This window comes from Homo sapiens, chromosome 9 (assembly GCF_000001405.40).
Source record: "Homo sapiens chromosome 9, GRCh38.p14 Primary Assembly".
Taxonomy (NCBI): Eukaryota; Metazoa; Chordata; class Mammalia; order Primates; family Hominidae; genus Homo; species Homo sapiens.
In genome coordinates, this window is record NC_000009.12 from 135158798 (window position 1) to 135175497 (window position 16700).

General features: G+C 53.2%; 1 long non-coding RNA gene across 5 annotated transcripts, besides 4 other annotated features; it reads left to right on the forward strand.

Moving 5' to 3' along the window:
• The first annotated feature begins 3663 nt into the window (after positions 1-3663).
• On the forward strand, positions 3664-8326 carry LOC102723948 (uncharacterized). 5 transcript variants are annotated; one of them, XR_930423.2, is made up of 4 exons: positions 3664-4190; positions 5201-5283; positions 5917-5981; positions 6071-8326. It is a non-coding gene; the product is annotated as an uncharacterized LOC102723948 (long non-coding RNA). The 5 variants fall into 5 exon arrangements; XR_001746585.2 differs by having other exon boundaries at positions 7006-8326; XR_428610.2 differs by having other exon boundaries at positions 3664-4177.
• Positions 6707-7207: an enhancer, noted in NCBI's record as "H3K4me1 hESC enhancer chr9:138057350-138057850 (GRCh37/hg19 assembly coordinates)". NCBI's record gives its function as "activates a minimal SCP1, AML or CMV promoter by ChIP-STARR-seq in primed H9 embryonic stem cells {active_cell/tissue: H9 hESC(primed)}" and the evidence as "EXISTENCE:reporter gene assay evidence [ECO:0000049][PMID:30033119]".
• Positions 11364-11865: an enhancer, noted in NCBI's record as "H3K4me1 hESC enhancer chr9:138062007-138062508 (GRCh37/hg19 assembly coordinates)". NCBI's record gives its function as "activates a minimal SCP1, AML or CMV promoter by ChIP-STARR-seq in naive H9 embryonic stem cells {active_cell/tissue: H9 hESC(naive)}" and the evidence as "EXISTENCE:reporter gene assay evidence [ECO:0000049][PMID:30033119]".
• Positions 14217-14717: an enhancer, noted in NCBI's record as "H3K27ac hESC enhancer chr9:138064860-138065360 (GRCh37/hg19 assembly coordinates)". NCBI's record gives its function as "activates a minimal SCP1, AML or CMV promoter by ChIP-STARR-seq in naive H9 embryonic stem cells {active_cell/tissue: H9 hESC(naive)}" and the evidence as "EXISTENCE:reporter gene assay evidence [ECO:0000049][PMID:30033119]".
• Positions 15480-15981: an enhancer, noted in NCBI's record as "H3K4me1 hESC enhancer chr9:138066123-138066624 (GRCh37/hg19 assembly coordinates)". NCBI's record gives its function as "activates a minimal SCP1, AML or CMV promoter by ChIP-STARR-seq in primed H9 embryonic stem cells {active_cell/tissue: H9 hESC(primed)}" and the evidence as "EXISTENCE:reporter gene assay evidence [ECO:0000049][PMID:30033119]".

Below are 16700 nucleotides of genomic sequence, written 5' to 3' on the forward strand. Positions count from 1 at the left end.
GGCAGGCTCTGCCACAGCTGGTGCCACTAAGTCCTAGGGTACGAGAGTCTGTGCAAACAGGCTGCATCCCCTGGCTCCACTAAGCCGAATACAGACAGAGGCTCTGCGCACTCGCCCCATCCAGCAGAGGATGCCCATGGCGATCATTTTAGTGCTTATCATGGAGGGCAGGCTGATGGGTCAGCGTGGCCATCACAGCTTCAGGGAGATGTTCAAAAAGGCTGGAGCCAAGTGGGCAGGGGATGGGGAAAGGAGGGGCTGTCTGGAGTGAGACAGATGTGCTATGAACCTTGTCACTGCTGCTGGCTGTTGGAGTGACCTTGGACAATTCCCTTGTATTAGCTGAGTCTCTGAATTTTGCCTGTAAATACAGAGCGCCCACTTAGAGGGGGAATTGGGGTTCACTGAGTTTGTATAGCACCTGGTCCATGTGAAATGTCCCCTCCCCTCCTGGGGTCTCTCCCTGGGTAGGAGGGAAGCTGATTACAATGGTGATGGCTGACTGTTACCCAGCACAGGTGCAAGCCCCAGGCCCTTCACCTGGATGGCCTCACCCTGACCTTTCACCCACTCAATGAGGGAGGTGCCCTTGTTAGCCCCATTTTATAGATGGGGAAACTGAAGCCCCAAGGGACTAAGAGAACATCCTTTCTGGTCATTTCCATGCCCTCAGGACCCCACCCTGCTTCTTCCAGAGTAGCTCTACTCTCCTCTGCTTCAGATCAGTCTGGAGAAAAAGAAATTTCTGCCACTAACAAAGCTGGAGAACCACTGAGCTCCAAACGCCTCCATTTTAAAGGCAGGGAAATTGAGGCACAGAAAGATGGGGGATTCAGCCAAATTGTACAGGGACATAGGATAAGACTTGACAATTCCCGAAGACCTGTGGGACTGGAAAGCCCAGCTGGTCTTTGGGTGTTCAGCTGTCTGATGGCCACTGGGACCTGGAGCCCAGGGTGCCTCTTTGCAGGGCCAATGCTGGCAAGGAAGGAAGGCGTGTGTGTAAGATACGTGTGCATGGGGGGACGACTGGCTGTCAAAATCATTCACGGAAAACACCCACTGGCTTCCCCGCCTCCCACACCTTCATTCCAGGTCCCTTCGTCAGACATCCCTGTATCTGCAGATTGTCCTCCATCAATGAACACAGAGCCAGGGCAGGCACTGCCCAGCTCTCAAGGACATCACAGTCTGGTGCGGAAAACAGATCTGTACCCAGATACTCATCTGCAAGTGACACCACACGCCAGGCCCTGTGCAAAGCGCTGGCTCCACTTTAGGAAGGCGCTGTCCGTGTTCCGATTTTACTGAGGGGGGAAAGGAGGCTTGGAGATTAAGTAGCCAGCCAAAAGTCCTGCAATTAGTAGATGGCAAAGCTGAGCTTCAGAGGTGGTGATCCAGGCCTCCCTCTCCACGCATGTGGGGCTACAGTCTTCAGATACTGGAGGCAGGAGGACAGAGCTGCCAGCACGGAAAGGAGGGACACCAGCAGCTGGGCCCTCTGAGTGATTGCCACCCCCATGGCTGGGAGGCAGAGCCCAGCGGCCTCACTGCCTTGAAGAATCAGAGACCAGGGTTCTGAGAGACCAAGGTGGCTGGGGTTTGCAGAGCAAAGTACCAGGGAGCAGGGTGACGCACCGACAGAGGTCCCAGGGCTTGCAGGAGGGCTTCAACCCGCTGGCAGTGCTCCTATCTGCACATGTCTATATGAAACTGCACACACCTGGACAGAACCCCTGGAAAGCAGGAAGCCAGACAACTCCCAGAACTCACATGGTCTGGGAATAGCTCAGATTCTCCCAGCCAAGTAGGATGCAGCGGCAGGTAGCAGCCTTAGGAAGGTAGCACCCCAGTCCCAGACTAAAGGCTGCTCCCTACCTACCCTAAAAACATGTAAAGAAAGACTTGAAAGGGGCAGACGGACGCCGAGTAACTTCACTGAGAATCAAGAGAAAGTCCCACACTCTTTAAAGGATGAAAACAAAGTTTGTAATTGTCAACATCCCATCAAAAATTACTTGGCAACAAAGAAGCAAGAAAATATAACCCAACACCAGGAGAAAAATCAACCAACAGAAGCGGACCCCACAATAACACAGATGATCAAATCAGCGGAGAAAGACATAAAAATAGCTACTATAAATAGCTTCGTATGTCCAAGAATATAGAGGAGAATGTGGAGATAATGAGGAGAGAGGTGAGAGGTAAAGACCCATGGGGATGAAAAATACACTAGCTGCCATAAGATACAATAGAGGAGGTTATCAGCCAATTAGATGGTACAGAAAAGAGAAGGTCAGTGAACTGAAAAATGTCACTTGAAGACGCTGTCCAGCTGAAGCACACAGAGGAAAAAGACAGGATAAAAAAGCACACGGGTGTGAGCTGTGCGATCCCACACAGTGACGGAACACACTGGATTCAGGGTCTCAAAAGGAGGAAAGTAGGGAAAAAATATTTGAAGAAATAATCGCTGAAAATTCTCTACATCTGAAGAAAATGATAAAACCCAAAGATCTAAAGATCTCAATGAAGCTTTAGAGGTACATACACAAAGGAAATCAAACCAAAGCGTGTCGTAATCAGGCAGGGCATGGTGGCTCACACCTGTAATCCCAGCACTTTGGGAGGCCGAGTTGGGTGGATCACTTGAGGTCAGAATTTCGAGACCAGCCTGGCCAACATGGCGAAACCCTGTCTCTGCTAAAAATACAAAAACAAGCAAACAAACAAAAATTAGCCAGACATGGTGGCACGCACCTGTAATCCCAGCTACTTGGGAGGCTGAGGCTGGAGAATCGCTTGTACCCAGGAGGCAGAGGCTGCAGCAAGCCAATATTGCACCACTGTACTCCAGCCTGGGCAACAGAGTGAGACTCCTCCTCACACAAAAAAAAGAAAAGAAAAGAAAAAAAAAGCATGTTGTAATCAAATTGCTAACAGCCAGAGACACTAAAAAGGCTAAAAGCAGCCAGAGATAAACAAAGGAACACGAATAGGAAGGACATCAGACTTCTCACCAAAACTCATGCAGGCCGGGAGAGCGTGAAGCAGCATCTTCCAAACACATAAATGGGGGGAAAGCTGCCAACCTAAGATTCCATACCAGAGAAAATATTTTTCAATAAAGAAGGTGCAGGAAACATTTCTTAGACATATAGAATAGGAAAACTATTGCCAAAAATGTGAAAGAAAATTCTTTAGGCAGAAAAAAAAAATGATGCTAAATGGAAATTTGAATCTGCACTAAGGATTGAGGAGAGCCAGACAGGATCACTCTGTGGGAAGTTATGTTTTTCTCATTGCTTTGCTCTCTCTGAAATACAATTGTCTGTTTATAGCAAACTTATTAAAAGCTTAGGGCGGGGTTTATAGCACAGGGAAGTGAAATGATCACAGTGGTAATATCAAGGATGGTGTGGGAGGGGTGGGGGGAATGGGCACAGGTGCCTCAGCCCGACCCTCATTAGGTCACAGTGATAACACCAAGGACGGGGGTGGAGATGGACACAGGTGCCTCAGCCCAACCCTCACATGATCACAGTGGTAACACCAAGGACGGGAGGGGAGATGGGCACAGGTGCCTCAGCCCGACCCTCATTAGGTCACAGTGGTAACACCAAGGACAGAGGGGGAGATGGGCACAGGTGCCATGATCCGACCCTCATGAGATCACAGTGGTAACACCAAGGACAGTGGGGGAGATGGGCACAGGCGCTGCGGCCCGACCCTCATGAGATCACAGTGGTAACACCAAGGACAGAGGGGGAGATGGGCACAGGTGCCATGATCCGACCCTCATGAGATCACAGTGGTAACACCAAGGAGAGTGGGGGAGATGGGCACAGGCGCTGTGGCCCGACCCTCATGAGATCACAGTGGTAACACCAAGGACAGAGGGGGCGATGGGCACAGGTGCCATGATCCGACCCTCATGAGATCACAGTGGTAACACCAAGGACAGAGGGGGAGATGGGCACAGGCGCTGCGGCCCGACCCTCATGAGATCACAGCGGTAACACCAAGGACAGAGGGGGCGATGGGCACAGGTGCCATGATCCGACCCTCATGAGATCACAGTGGTAACACCAAGGACAGAGGGGGAGATGGGCACAGGCACTGCGGCCCGATCCTCATGAGAAGTGGCGCAGTGTTACGTGAAGGACGACTATGTGTGGTGAGTTAAAAATGTAAGTGATGAACTCTGTGACAACCACTGGAAATGTTCAAAGGAAACAAGCAGAGTGTTCTGACTTCAGAGTCCCTGCTGTGACCCCTGGGGCTGGCCTGCTTCCTGGTGAGACCTTTGTGCCGGGGGACACGGGACCCTGTCATACAGAGCTGTTAGCTCTGAATTTTTCTTGGGGTGTGGGGACAATCACGAAAGGCTTTTTATCTTATTTTTTACTTATTTATTTTATTTTATTTTATTTTATTTTATTTTATTTTATTTTATTTTGAGACAGAGTCTCACTCTATCACCCAGGCTGGAGTGCAGTGGTACAATCAGGACTCACTGCAGCCTCAGTCTCCTGGGCTCAAGCAATCCTCCTGCTTCAGCCTCCTGAGTAGCCAGGACCACAGGTGCACACCACCACACCTGGCTAATTTTTGTATTTTTTGTAGAGACTGGGTCTCGCTTGCTGGTCTCAAATTCCTGAGCTCAAGCGATCCTCCCACCTTGGTCTCTCCAAGTGCTGGGATTATATCGGCATGAGCCACCACACCAGGCCAGGAAAGGCTGTTTAAAGGGGACGTTTGAATGGTGTCAGAAAAGTGAGTCATTTTCTGTTTTATGCACCTAGCTAGTGAGGGATTTCCTACTGATTCATGCTTAAGATTTTCAAACTGGACCAAGAGATCCTCCCTCAAGAACCCCTCCAGAGGCTCCCTTCCTCCCAACGAGCCCAGGTCCACAGGCACACACAACCAAGAGATATGATAGGTCAGTTCTTTTGAGTAAAAATTCGCCAAACGCGAGAGGTCTCCTTCAGGAGGGCCCCTTGCAGCCCAGGCCCAGAGTCTTTTGGAGCCCCCAGAAATAGCAGCATCCAAAGAGAGACACAAGAGCCAGATGCCTGCGAGAGGGGCACGGGGGAATTGAGGTGGCCAATGCCTGCGGAAGGGAGGGGATCTCTCTAGCAAACTCCACATCCTTGGTGTTTCTAGTGCTTTCTGCAAGGTGTCGTCTCTGTTCCAGGATGTGGCTCTGACAGGCTCCTCGTGGAGCAGAGATAACCAGCTCTCACAAGTCTTCATCCTCCTGCCGCCGGGACCTTGGGGGTGAGCAGCCTGCCTGCTGAGGGCTTACACTCAGGAGGGGCACTGGCAGCAGGGAGAAGGGTCAGTCTCAAGAAATGTGGAAGCAAAAACTGGGCAGCTTTGGCCCCGGCAGATGCTCCAAAAGGGACAGAACAGGGAGCTTGATGGGGCATGATGGGCGGGGTCATTTCGGATGGGGGCCCTGGGAGGTTCTCACAGCCGCATGTGACTGTGGTTCTGCTGATGACGTCGCCTGCAAGGAGCCCATTGCTCTGTGGTCCATGGGTCGGGCAGCGGCCTCCATCCTTCCCATCCACCACTGGACAGAACTGGGGCCCCTGGGTCGGGGGCAATGCAGGGTTCACTCAGTGTCCCAGAGCAGGCTGACCCCCCTCCCTCCACAGGCAGAGGAACAAGGGCTGTCTGGGCCGATGAGGGGGCTGGGGGGTGGCATGTTTTGTGCTAAGTCACTCTGCAGAGGGCATCTGTCAGTCCCGCTGAGTCCAGCTGGATCTTTGGCTGACCCCACCCCAAGCCGAGGGAGATATTTGCCTACTGGACAGAAGAGTCGGTCCCATGTCAGCCCAGGGCAGTGGAGTGTAGGAGAAATGCTTCTTAATAAGTGAAGACCTGGTGGAATTGTCTCTCCTGCAGGGTCAGAACAGAGCAGGAGCTGCGGGAGATCAAGGTGCCCACTGGTTCCAGATTTTGTCATGCCGGTAAGCATTATTAATTTCACATCTCAGAGCCTATTGAAAAACCGGAAGTGCAGCGTTCATGCTCAGCAAAAATCTTTTCCCATGCATAGCATTCCTTAGAAAAGGCAAGTTTCGGACGAAGGAAAAGGCCACACGTGGACACAAGGTTCTCTGTTTATCATGAACGACCGAGAAGACGGGAGCAAGAATGGTTCTGTGGGTTTGGAAATCGATGGTTCTGTTTGTGAAGAAGTAGGAAAATTGCCTGTTACCCTAAGAAGTCTACGGGCCGTGGTCAGAGCTTTAGGCTCCTGATTCCCCACTCGGGTTGAGGTCACCGCTCACCTCTGCAGGTGCAGGCAGGAGAGAGGCAGTGAGTGGGTACAACCGGGCTGTGAATTTGCTGAGGGAGGCATTATAATGACGGCTCACAAATCCAGGCTGGGACCACATCAAGGATTATGGCGGGAGTGGGGTTGAGAGCTGAGCTAGGTGCTTAATTACCGAGGAGGGCAATGTGTGTTCCCTCCCCTTCCCCCCAGACAGCAGGGACAGAGGCGTGAGCCAGCATCACCCCCTCTTGACACAGAGCTGGTCCCTCAAAGTAAACCTCAGGGGTCATGACTGATGATTGTAGGAAGTGATGTGCTTGCTCTTCCTCAACGGGAAAGGGGGTCTGAGCCAAGCGGTGGCTCCCAGCAACCACACTGTGACCATAAGAACAGCCAGCTGCAAAACAAAGACAAGACTGAGAAGACAAAGCCGAGAGAACCACAGGGAAGCAGGACCAGGGACCAGATCATGCTGTTCCTGAAACCCGGGGGCCTCTGGTGCCTCCGTTAGAAGAGGAAATAAGCTCGCGTTGTTGTTTGAGCTGGTTAGAGCTGGATTTTACATTTTGTGCGGCCAAAGCCTCCTAACAGAGTTAGAGCCTTGCTACGGAGTCCAACTTGCATCCCAGGCTCTGGAAACCCTCTAACGCACGATCCTATTCATCTGCACGAGGGCCCTGTGACCTGGGAGTGATTCATCTTCCATTTTGCAGATGAGGAGACTGGGGCTTAGAGAAGCCAAGAAGCATGGCGTGGCCCGCAGCCTGGAATCCCTGGAGCCAGCATTGGATGTGGGTCTGCTTGGGCCAGAGTCCTGATCTAATTCACGCTCCCTTCCACCTGGTGCTTAGGAGCCAGAGTGGCCATCCCTGGGGAGAGGAAGTGGATAAGATAAGCTGCCGGCAGCCAGGGGTCCAGACTTCCCGGCGGGGCAGGGGAAGGAGACATCACTGGGAACAAAGCTTTCACCGCTGGCCCGAATTACCTGGTCCCCCTGACAGCCAAGTGGACGGCGGCTGCCGGGAGCGTCGGTGTGAAGTGTGTGCACGCTGGGGAACAAGACACATCGGCAGCTTCCACTGATGGGAAAATAATGAGGCCACATCGCCTGGCTGAAAAATGTACCTGTCTTCATTATTCCGGCAGAAATGAATAAAAACTTTCCATTTGAGGAATGGAGCCAATTTCCAGCACGGCGCGTGGGGGGAGGTGGGCGAAGAGAGAGCTTGGTTTGCAACTATGTGTCTTCTCAGCATGGCTGCATGGGAGGCATCCATGGAAGAAACAGGCGGTGTTCAGAAGTGATGTGGGAGAAATTCAAGGAAATATGCCATTCTGAGTTCAGCCTCCTCTGAACCTCTTCTTAAGTCTCAAATACTGCATGAGTGTCATGTGATGGCTGTAACCCCAGGAACCGAGCCCGGCTTCCAGTAGGGAAGCATGACGGGAGGTCAACAGCTGGCCCCTCTAGCTTGCCCCCCGGGAGAGGGCTTGGCTCCCCTTGGCAAGCCGAAGGGGCTTCCACGGATCCAGGGGCCAAGAAGACTCCTCGTGACCACGCACGTGGGGAGACAGCTCCACACAGAAACCCTACAGATGTTTTGCAGTCCACCCAGCGGCAAGAAGGTGCAAGTGAAATTGAGTTTTCCGCAACCCCAAAGCTCTAAGGAGAGGGTGTGAGCTGAGATTAAAGGGTGGGTGTCTGGGCCTCAAGGGTGCCCGGAGTGTGTGAGTCATGTCTGCTTGGAATGGGGCCCGGGAGCCTTCCTCTCTCATCAGAGGAAGGAGTGAGATGGTCTCCCCTTCCCGAGGACATTGTCAGGGGAGACCTCTTGCGTTCGGCGAATTTTTACTCAAAAGAACTGACCTATCATATCTCTTGGTTGTGTGTGCCTGTGGACCTGGGCTCGTGGGGAGGAAGGGAGCCTCTGGAGGGTTTCTTGAGGGAGGGGCTCTTGGTCCAATTTGAAAATCTTAAGCATGAATCATTAGGAAATCCCACACTAGCTAGGTGCATAAAGCAGAAAGGAATCCGTGATAAATAAAAATCCATCTGTAGAGGAAAAATACCACCTTCATGAAACCCATTATGCGTGGAACACATGTTTCATTCTTATGAATTTCAAACTGAACGCATGACATAATCAAAGTGGAAATATGGGGGCTGAACCCTTATCCAAATCACGTCAAGGGTGTATATGAAGTTTTTCAGAGTGCCGGAATCTGGCTTTTACATCCCACACAGCTTGAAATACTTCCGAGACTGTTGGCTGGAGGAAAGTTTGGGGTCTGAGGTTTGTCGTAAGATCTGCCGTAGTCCAAACAATCTTGCTGCAAATGTCAGTGAGGACGCATTTCACAGGAAGAGTTTTTGGCCCAGCAGATGGCTTGACGTGAATCTGTGACCAGACGTCAATCGGTGGTGGCGTCACCATCAATTGGAGCCATCTGAGGTCACCGTGTCCAATGTGATGACAGGAAGAATGAAGAAGGCCAGGGAAGAGGCCCTGGCATTGAGGAGTTCCGGCCCACGTGGTCCCAGCTTGTCATGAGCCCTGCCCACTGGTCCCCAATTGGGTGGACTCCCTGGGCAGGGGAAGAGGCGGGGGTTCAGGGTTCAGGACACTCAGGTGTGGGCATACCCCCATCTCGTACAGTTGGGCAGGCACACACAGGACAGAGCTGGAGCCCCACTTCCTTGTCCCTCACCGGGGAATATCCATGCCTAGCCTTTTGTGTGTCTGCCACAGTGTGGCTGCAGGAAGGTGGTCAGGTCCTGTGCTTCCCCTCCAGGCTGGTGTAACTGGTGACACCCGCACAGGACGGGCGACTGGACCCCCTTTGCCTACCCAGCACTCCATCCTCACAGCCGGGAGAAGCCAAGCCAGTCCCGTCGGGATTGATCATGGGAGGCAGGGGACCCCGCTCTCCCAGCTGCCACCGCAGCAGCGCTGGTCCAGAGTGCTGCCAGCCACAGCCCTGGCCTCCCGGGCTTAGCCCCCGGGGTGGAGACAGGTCTACATTTGCATTTTACAGCAAAAGCCTCATTTCCAAATCTTTTTCACATAAGATTGCCTCTGTGGATGGAGATTTACCAGAGTCCTGAAGCCACGGATGGCTTTTAACATGATGGGAGTTCTCCGTTTTTTTACTAATTTAATTTCTGGGGCTATTAAAGGTAGCCTGAAGAAGTACCATCTGTTGAGTGGATGACAGACCAGAGGAGGAATTTCAGCAGCAAGACTGTAAATTTCCACTTGATCAGGGAACTCAGTATCTAAAATCAATTTGCGGAGGCCTTGAAATGCTTATCAGGAGAATTTCTCAGTCAGGGGCCTCCCCTTGTTCCATTTTTCATTCCAATCAATCAGCTCCCGACACCCTCAGCCCAGGGAAGGGCCCTGACACTCCATGTCCGAGCATGTTTCAGAAGTGCCTGTAGAGCCTCCATCAGAAAATAACATACGGAAGGGGGTTTATTTTTATCAAAATTCCAAGAGTCCCGAGCGTGCTTCACATAGAGAATGCCGGGCCTATTCCCACGGGAAGCGTCTCTTTCCCGCAGTGGGAGCAGCCCGCCGTGTAAGCCGGTGCCCGCCTCTATCTCGACCCTCACCGCACAGGAAGAATCCCCTTGTCCAAAGCCCCCCTTCTCACAGGGAAGGCCAGGCTTATGCACCAGGAAGCCCTCCTCTCAGTGATCTTGACTTCCAGTGCTCCCTACAACTCGGTCAGGACTGTTTCGTAAGCATCCACCAGTGCCAGGCGCCGGGTGGAGCAAGACAGAGTCCCTATCGCCCAGGAGCTCATGGCAAGCAGGGCAGCAGTGGACAAATGTCTGTGTCCCCTGAAATCCATACATTAAGACCTAAGCCCCAGTGTGGTGGGACTGGGAGGTGATCCAGTTCAAGGGTGAGCTCTCCAGGGGGGATCCGTGCCCTCATCAAAGATGCCCCAGGGAGCTGCCGTGCCCCTTCCGCCAGGGCAAGGCATGGGAGAAGAAGCCGTGTCTGAGCCAGGAGTGGATCCTCGCCAGACACCGTCCGCCGGCAGGTTGACCCTGGATGCCTGGCCTCCAGGGCAGTGGGAAAGGTGCTGTTTCTGAGCCACCCCAGCTGCCGTGTGTGGCAATGGCCGCGCCACAGACTCAGGCATGGGCACAGACAAGAAACATAAACCCACATACTCGCAGGGATTGATTTCAGCCGCTAGAGTTGAACCGAAGAAAGGGAACAGCCAGGTGTGCGCAGATCTGGGAAGGGTGTTCCCCACGAGAAAACAGCAGGCACAAAGGCTGCCGTGGGAACCAGTGTGTTTCGTACAGGGGCAAGAAAGAGAAGTGCCCTGAGTTGGGGTCAGGGTGTTCGAATTGGAGACCAGATCCTCTAGGGTCCAGAGCACCACAGGGACGAGTGGGGGACAGCAAGCCCAGCCCCAACCACAAGGGCAGGAGGGTCCTGGGGGTAACATCTGAGCTGAGTGCAGAAGGAAGAAAGATAGTTCTGGATGAGGCAGTGGGGCAGGCCCTGCTCAGACCCAGCTTTGAGAGCCAGGGCCACTTCTGGATCCTTCGCGCAGTGGCCTTGGGTGTGTGATCTCTCCAGGAGTCCTGTTCAGTCAGGAAAACAATCACTGCTACGTACTTTCAGTCAGCAGAGACAGACGAGAGACCCAAACACAGAGCAGAGAGGTCCAAGGCAATGAAGGGCTGACAGGGTCTGCATCTGTGTGTGCATGTGTGAGTGTGCATGTGTGTGCACATGAGAATATACATGTGCATACAAGTGTTCGTGCATGTGTCTCCATGTGTGAGCACATGTGTGTGGATGTGTGTGTGCATGTGCATGTGTGAGTGCATGGGTGTACATATGTGTGGATGTGTGTACATGTGCCTGTGCATGTGTGTCTGTGTGAGTGCACGGGTGTGCATGTGTGCTTGTGCGTGTGTGGATGTGTGTGCGTGTGCTTGTGCAAGTGTGTGCATGTGTGTCTGTGTGAGTGCGTGGGTGTGCATATGTGCTCGTGCATACGTGCGGATGTGTGTGCATGTGCCTGTGTGAATGCATATGTGCATGCATGTGTGCTTGTGTATGTGTGCACAGATGTGGGTGCAAGTATATGCATGTGTGTGTGCACATGTGAGAGAGACAGAGAGAGAAGGTTCTTCTCTACAGGTATAGGAAGTGCTTCCCTTTCCTTACAGAGGCTGCCCCAGCTCCCACAGTTAGTTCTTGCTGCAGTCAATGCTGTAGAAATGTGCTTGGCCCTGATGCCTCGGGAGACAGGCAGCAGGAGAGACAGGCCCTGGAGGAAGGCTGGGGTGGGCAGGATGGCTGACCAGTGCTGCCAAAGCAGGGTCCCAGAGCGGTGGTCCTGACTGAGAGTCCCAGGGCAGTTGGCAGCCTCACCTGTCTTGGGGTCTGTCCTGAGAAGGGAAACGGGAGCAGCACTGGGGAGAACATAAGTTCGGGGGTCAGACTGATGTGTGTTCAAATCTCGCCGCCTGTACAGTGGGATCCCATGGCTTTCTGCATGGGACAGAACTGAAATTGGGGAAATAAATCAGACAGTACCCGGCAGAGAGCTCTCCACACATGTAGTGCTGCTTCTGGGAGCAGCTGTCGTCCAGAGGGGGCCCACGTAGTGCACAGGGAGCCGCCCACTCGTAAGCCACAGTTTCAGCGGCTGCCCTCACACCTCCAGCTCCTGCCGGTTCTGTCATTTCGGCAGCTGCGCTCCTGCTTTCGGGGTTCTGAAGGTTTTTGACTTTCAAACCCCCTTTGAAAGGTTAATTCTTTGAGACGACTCATTCCATTAGCTCTCATTAGCTGGCTCCTCATTATCCACTAGTGCTTTCATTACCAGCAGCCACTTTCACTAACAGGTAACACCTCTGCCAGGCAAGCGGGCAGCCCACTGGGAGCAGAAACCAGGGCAGGGTGGCGCGGCCACCATTGAGAGGCACCAGGGCCAGTAGGACAGGAAGGAGCCAGGGCCTCTGCCCTGGTGGCCATGGAAATCCCTGTGTGCAGAGCCCAAGGGAGACCTTCTGAGAACTGGGGAAACTGCCACTGCTGGGAGGCCAGAGCCAATAACCACAACTGCAGCAAAGCCAGCTCGTGCCCATGGGACACTTCAGATGTGGTCCCCACATAGCCCAGGATACCTGGGAGGAGGTGGTGAACTTGCTCATAAAAGGCCACATGGGACCAGGCATGGTGGCTCACGCCTGTAATCCCAGGGCTTTGGGAGACCGAGGCAGGTGGATCACCTGAGGTCAGGAGTTCAAGACCAGCCTGGGCAACATGGTGAAATCCCGCCTCTACAAAAATACAAAAATTATCTGGGCATGAGGGTGGGTGCCTGTAATCCCAGCTACTTGGGAGGCTGAGGTGGGAGAATCCCTTGAACCTGGGAGGCAGAGGTTGCAGTGAGCTGAAACACCACCATTGCACTGTAGCCTGGATAATAAGGCGATACTCCGTCTCAAAAATAAAAGGCCATGTGGTAAATATTTGAGGCTTTGCAGGACGTAGAGTTCAGTCATAGCTACTCAACTTCCACGGTAATACAAAAGCGTCCATAAGCACTAAGCAAACGAATGGATGCAGCTGTGTGCCAATAAAACTTTATTTCCAAAACCAGACTGATGTGGCCTATGGGCCATGGTTTGCTGACCCCTGTACTGTGGCATTTAACCTTCAGCACATCCCTGGAAGCATCTATGATGCCTATCTTGCTGCTAAGCTGCCTGAGACTCAGGCAGATCCCACAACTGGCCATCATTACACAACCAGTGAAGGGAAGGGCAGCCGGGAGTTTCAGCCATCACTGTCCCTGCCAGCCGGCTCACCTGCTTGAGCCACTGCTGAGGCTGGCCCCATACCCTCTCCTTTCATTATCAACCAAGCTCCTTGGATTTCTCAGTGTTATCCAGAGAATCAGAGGCAACAGCATATATTTAGAGAGAAACCTACCACAAGGAATTGGCTCTCCTAGTTTTGGAGTTCAGGAAGTCAAGATCTGCAATCAGCAACCTAGAGAACCAGGAAGCCAGTAGTGTGCAGTCTGACCCATGTCCAAGGGCAGAATGAGGCAGGAAGTGGGACTCGACTCAGGAGGCAGGGCTTGGACATCAGACCTAATTGAGAACTAGTGAAAACAGGGATGGAGCCAAAGCACCTCTCCATCAGACCCACCCACCAGTGTCCAGTGTCCATGTCAGTTTACTATTGCCATGGCAACACTCAGAAATTATGGCCTATTTCTAGAAACGTTTAATTTGTGCATAGTTAAAGTGAGTATAAATATGACTGCAGAATGGCCTCTGAGCTGCTGCTCTAGACACACCTATGGGGAGCCCTGCTGAGCAAAGAGCAGCACCTCAGCGTCAACAGAAGTTGCTAACACCACCAACTCACCCTTGAATTCCTTCCTGGGTGAAACCAAGAACCCTCTCAGGCTAAGCCCCAATCTTGGGGTTGACCTGCTTTGCATCGAGAAGACCAACAACCCCACTCAAATGCAGGCATCCATTCGTTCGCTTAGTGCTTATGGACGCTTTTGTATTACCATGGAAGTTGAGTAGCTATGACTGAACTCTACGTCCTGCAAAGCCTCAAATATTTACCATGTGGCTTTTTTTTTTTTTTTGAGACGGAGTATCGCCCTATTATCCAGGCTGGAGTGCAATGGTGGTATTTCAGCTCACTGCAACCTCTGCCTCCCAGGTTCAAGGGATTCTCCCACCTCAGCCTCCCAAGTCCATTCCCTCTTACCTAGCTTCTTTGCTCTATTCAGGCCTTCCACAAATCAGAGAGGCCTGCCCACATCGGGGAGGGGAAAACTGCTACAGGTTCCTATGTGAACCTCATCCAGGATACTCTGTGACACACACACCCAGAACCATGCTTGGCCAAATATCTGGGCACCGCATGGCCCAGTAAAGCTGATAAATGAAATTAACTATTACACTCCTGCAGGAGGCATTGCTATAATTATTGTGATCATTATTAATGATTCCATTTTGCAGATGAAGGATTGACCCTTCAAGGGTTCAGGAGCTTGTCCAGGGCTTTGGGGCTACCAGGCTGGGAGCTGCAACCAGTTCAGCATCTCCCCTCCCCAGCTGCTTCCTCAACCTGCACCAGTCAGCCTCAGAAACCCCGGGGGTGGAAGTGTGACTTGGGAGGTGGCGGGGACGCCCCTGCGGCACCCACACTTTGCTTTTCCATTAGGGCAGTTCTGTGAGGACCCCTCAGAGCCCACTCCCTGTCAGATGCTGGCAGCTTCCGAGGGGCCAGGCAGAATCTCCTGCCTTAGGAGCGGGCTTTATTTTTCCTCTCTTCTAGTTCAGGCTGGAGATTTAATGGTTCCCTCTCCTCCTCTCATCCTGTGAACTCATCCTCTTCAAACCACACACAGTGGTTCTCAGCCCCTACCGGCACCCAGCTCCATGGCTGGCCCTAAGGAGGGCAGCTGGGAGGGGAGGCGTGGCCGGGGCATTGAGGAGAGCAAGGGGGAGCAGACTTGGCTTGGGCTAGCAAGCATGTGGAGATGATGCGTGTTGTGGGAGCTGCCTCTGTGCCCTAATGCGCTCTCTCCAAGAACCGGGTCTCAGGGGTCCCACGGGCACCGTCTCCCAGGCAGTCCATCACAAAGTACCACAACTGACCGGCTCAGCATAACAGAAATCCATTTTGTCACCGTTCTGGAGGCCAGAAGTCCAAAATCTAGGTGTCGGCAGGGCTGGTTCGTCTGCGGGCTGTGAGGGAGAAGGGCTCCCAGGTTCTCCCGGCTTCTGGTAGCCACCAGCATCCTTGTTGTTCCTGGGCTGGCAGATGCTGCCCCAGCCTCTGCCTCCCACTTCCATGTGTCTGTGTGTGTGTGTGTGTGTGTGTCTGTGTGTGCATGTGTCGTCTCCTCTCTGCACAAATCTCAGTGTCTTCTGCTCCTCTGTAAGGACAGCAGTCATGTTGCATTAGGGACACACCGTATGCAGTCTGACCTCATCTTAAGTAACTACATTTTCATGACACCTGCCAAGACCCCATTTCCAAATAAGATCACATCCACAGGTACCAGGGTTAGGGCTTCAACATGTCTTCAGGGGGATTTAAATCACCCACAACAAACTGATATGTGAGTTTCTCAAGCGTTTCCAATACTGGCTTCAGCTCAGGGTCCCTGTGCCTGGCTCTGGTCAGGGCATATGACAGGTGGGAGTGACAGTGTGGCCTTGGCCGTGGGGATCCACTAGCAGCCCCTGTCCCCAGGGAGACAGGAGCAGGATCAGGGGTGGGACTCAGGGACTCAAGACGCTGTCATGGCCAATGCACTGGGCTGAGGAGAGAACACAGGGCCTCCCTGCCCACCTCCTGGCCGGCTGGTTAGTGACAAAACCTGGTCAGGAGCCTGTGAAGGTCAAGGGCACAAGTTGCCTGCGCCTCGATGGAATGCCACTGGACTGTTCAAGCAGTGTGGTGCTGTCTGGAGAACAGTGTGGCCACCCTCTGCCGCTGGCCCCTGACTCTTAAGGCTGCTGCTCTGGGAGGGAGGCCCATGGGATGATTGGCCTTCACGTCATGGCAGCTGGTCAGCAGCACTCAGGGATGAACCCTCTGCTCTCCAGCCACGCCTTCTCCCCTAGCGTGGGAAGCTCGTCAGTTGATTCCAGCCCCAGCACTTACCAAGTTCCTTCAGTGGCCAGGTCTGTGCTGGGCGCTGAACAGATCAGAGGGTCCCGAGACAGGCACTGCCCATCAACACCTTAGGGAGGTGCTGTGTGTTGCTGGGACATAGCCATGCCCAGGAGGCTCCGGCCACCCCCAGCAGCCTGTCTGCATCCCAGACTGTGGGCATGAGCTCCTGACTTCACCCAAGGCCTCAGAACACATTCTTTGCTGGTCTCACAAGCACGGGTCTTCCAGAACATTTCCCCAGCACTGACATCAAGCAACTCAGGCATCTTCACAAGCGTGCAGTTCCCCGCCTTGCACTGGGTCACTCTGAGCTAAGAAACATTCCTCTAGGTTCATGTTCTCAGGGCTTCCTGGTGGCTGCCCCTCCTGGGGGTCCAGCCCATGGCCCGGGCGTGTACCTGAGAGCTCTGTGGCTTCTCCCTGACATGCGGGTAGCCTTCTGCTCACTCTCTGACCTCTCAGAGCTCCTACCATGGTTCACTGTCACCGTGGGGGCCACTGAACATGTCAGGGCATCGGTGCCGGGTACAGTCCAGGCATAGAAACTGTTACGGAGGCACTCGATCAGCACATCAACCCTGTCTCAGAAAGGGTGCTACTAGGGAAGCCTCAGGAGAGCAGACAGCATCGGAGCTGGGCCTTCAAGGTGGTAAGAAGGTCATCTGAACAGGGAAGGACATCTTAGGCAGAGCTGCATGTGCAGACCT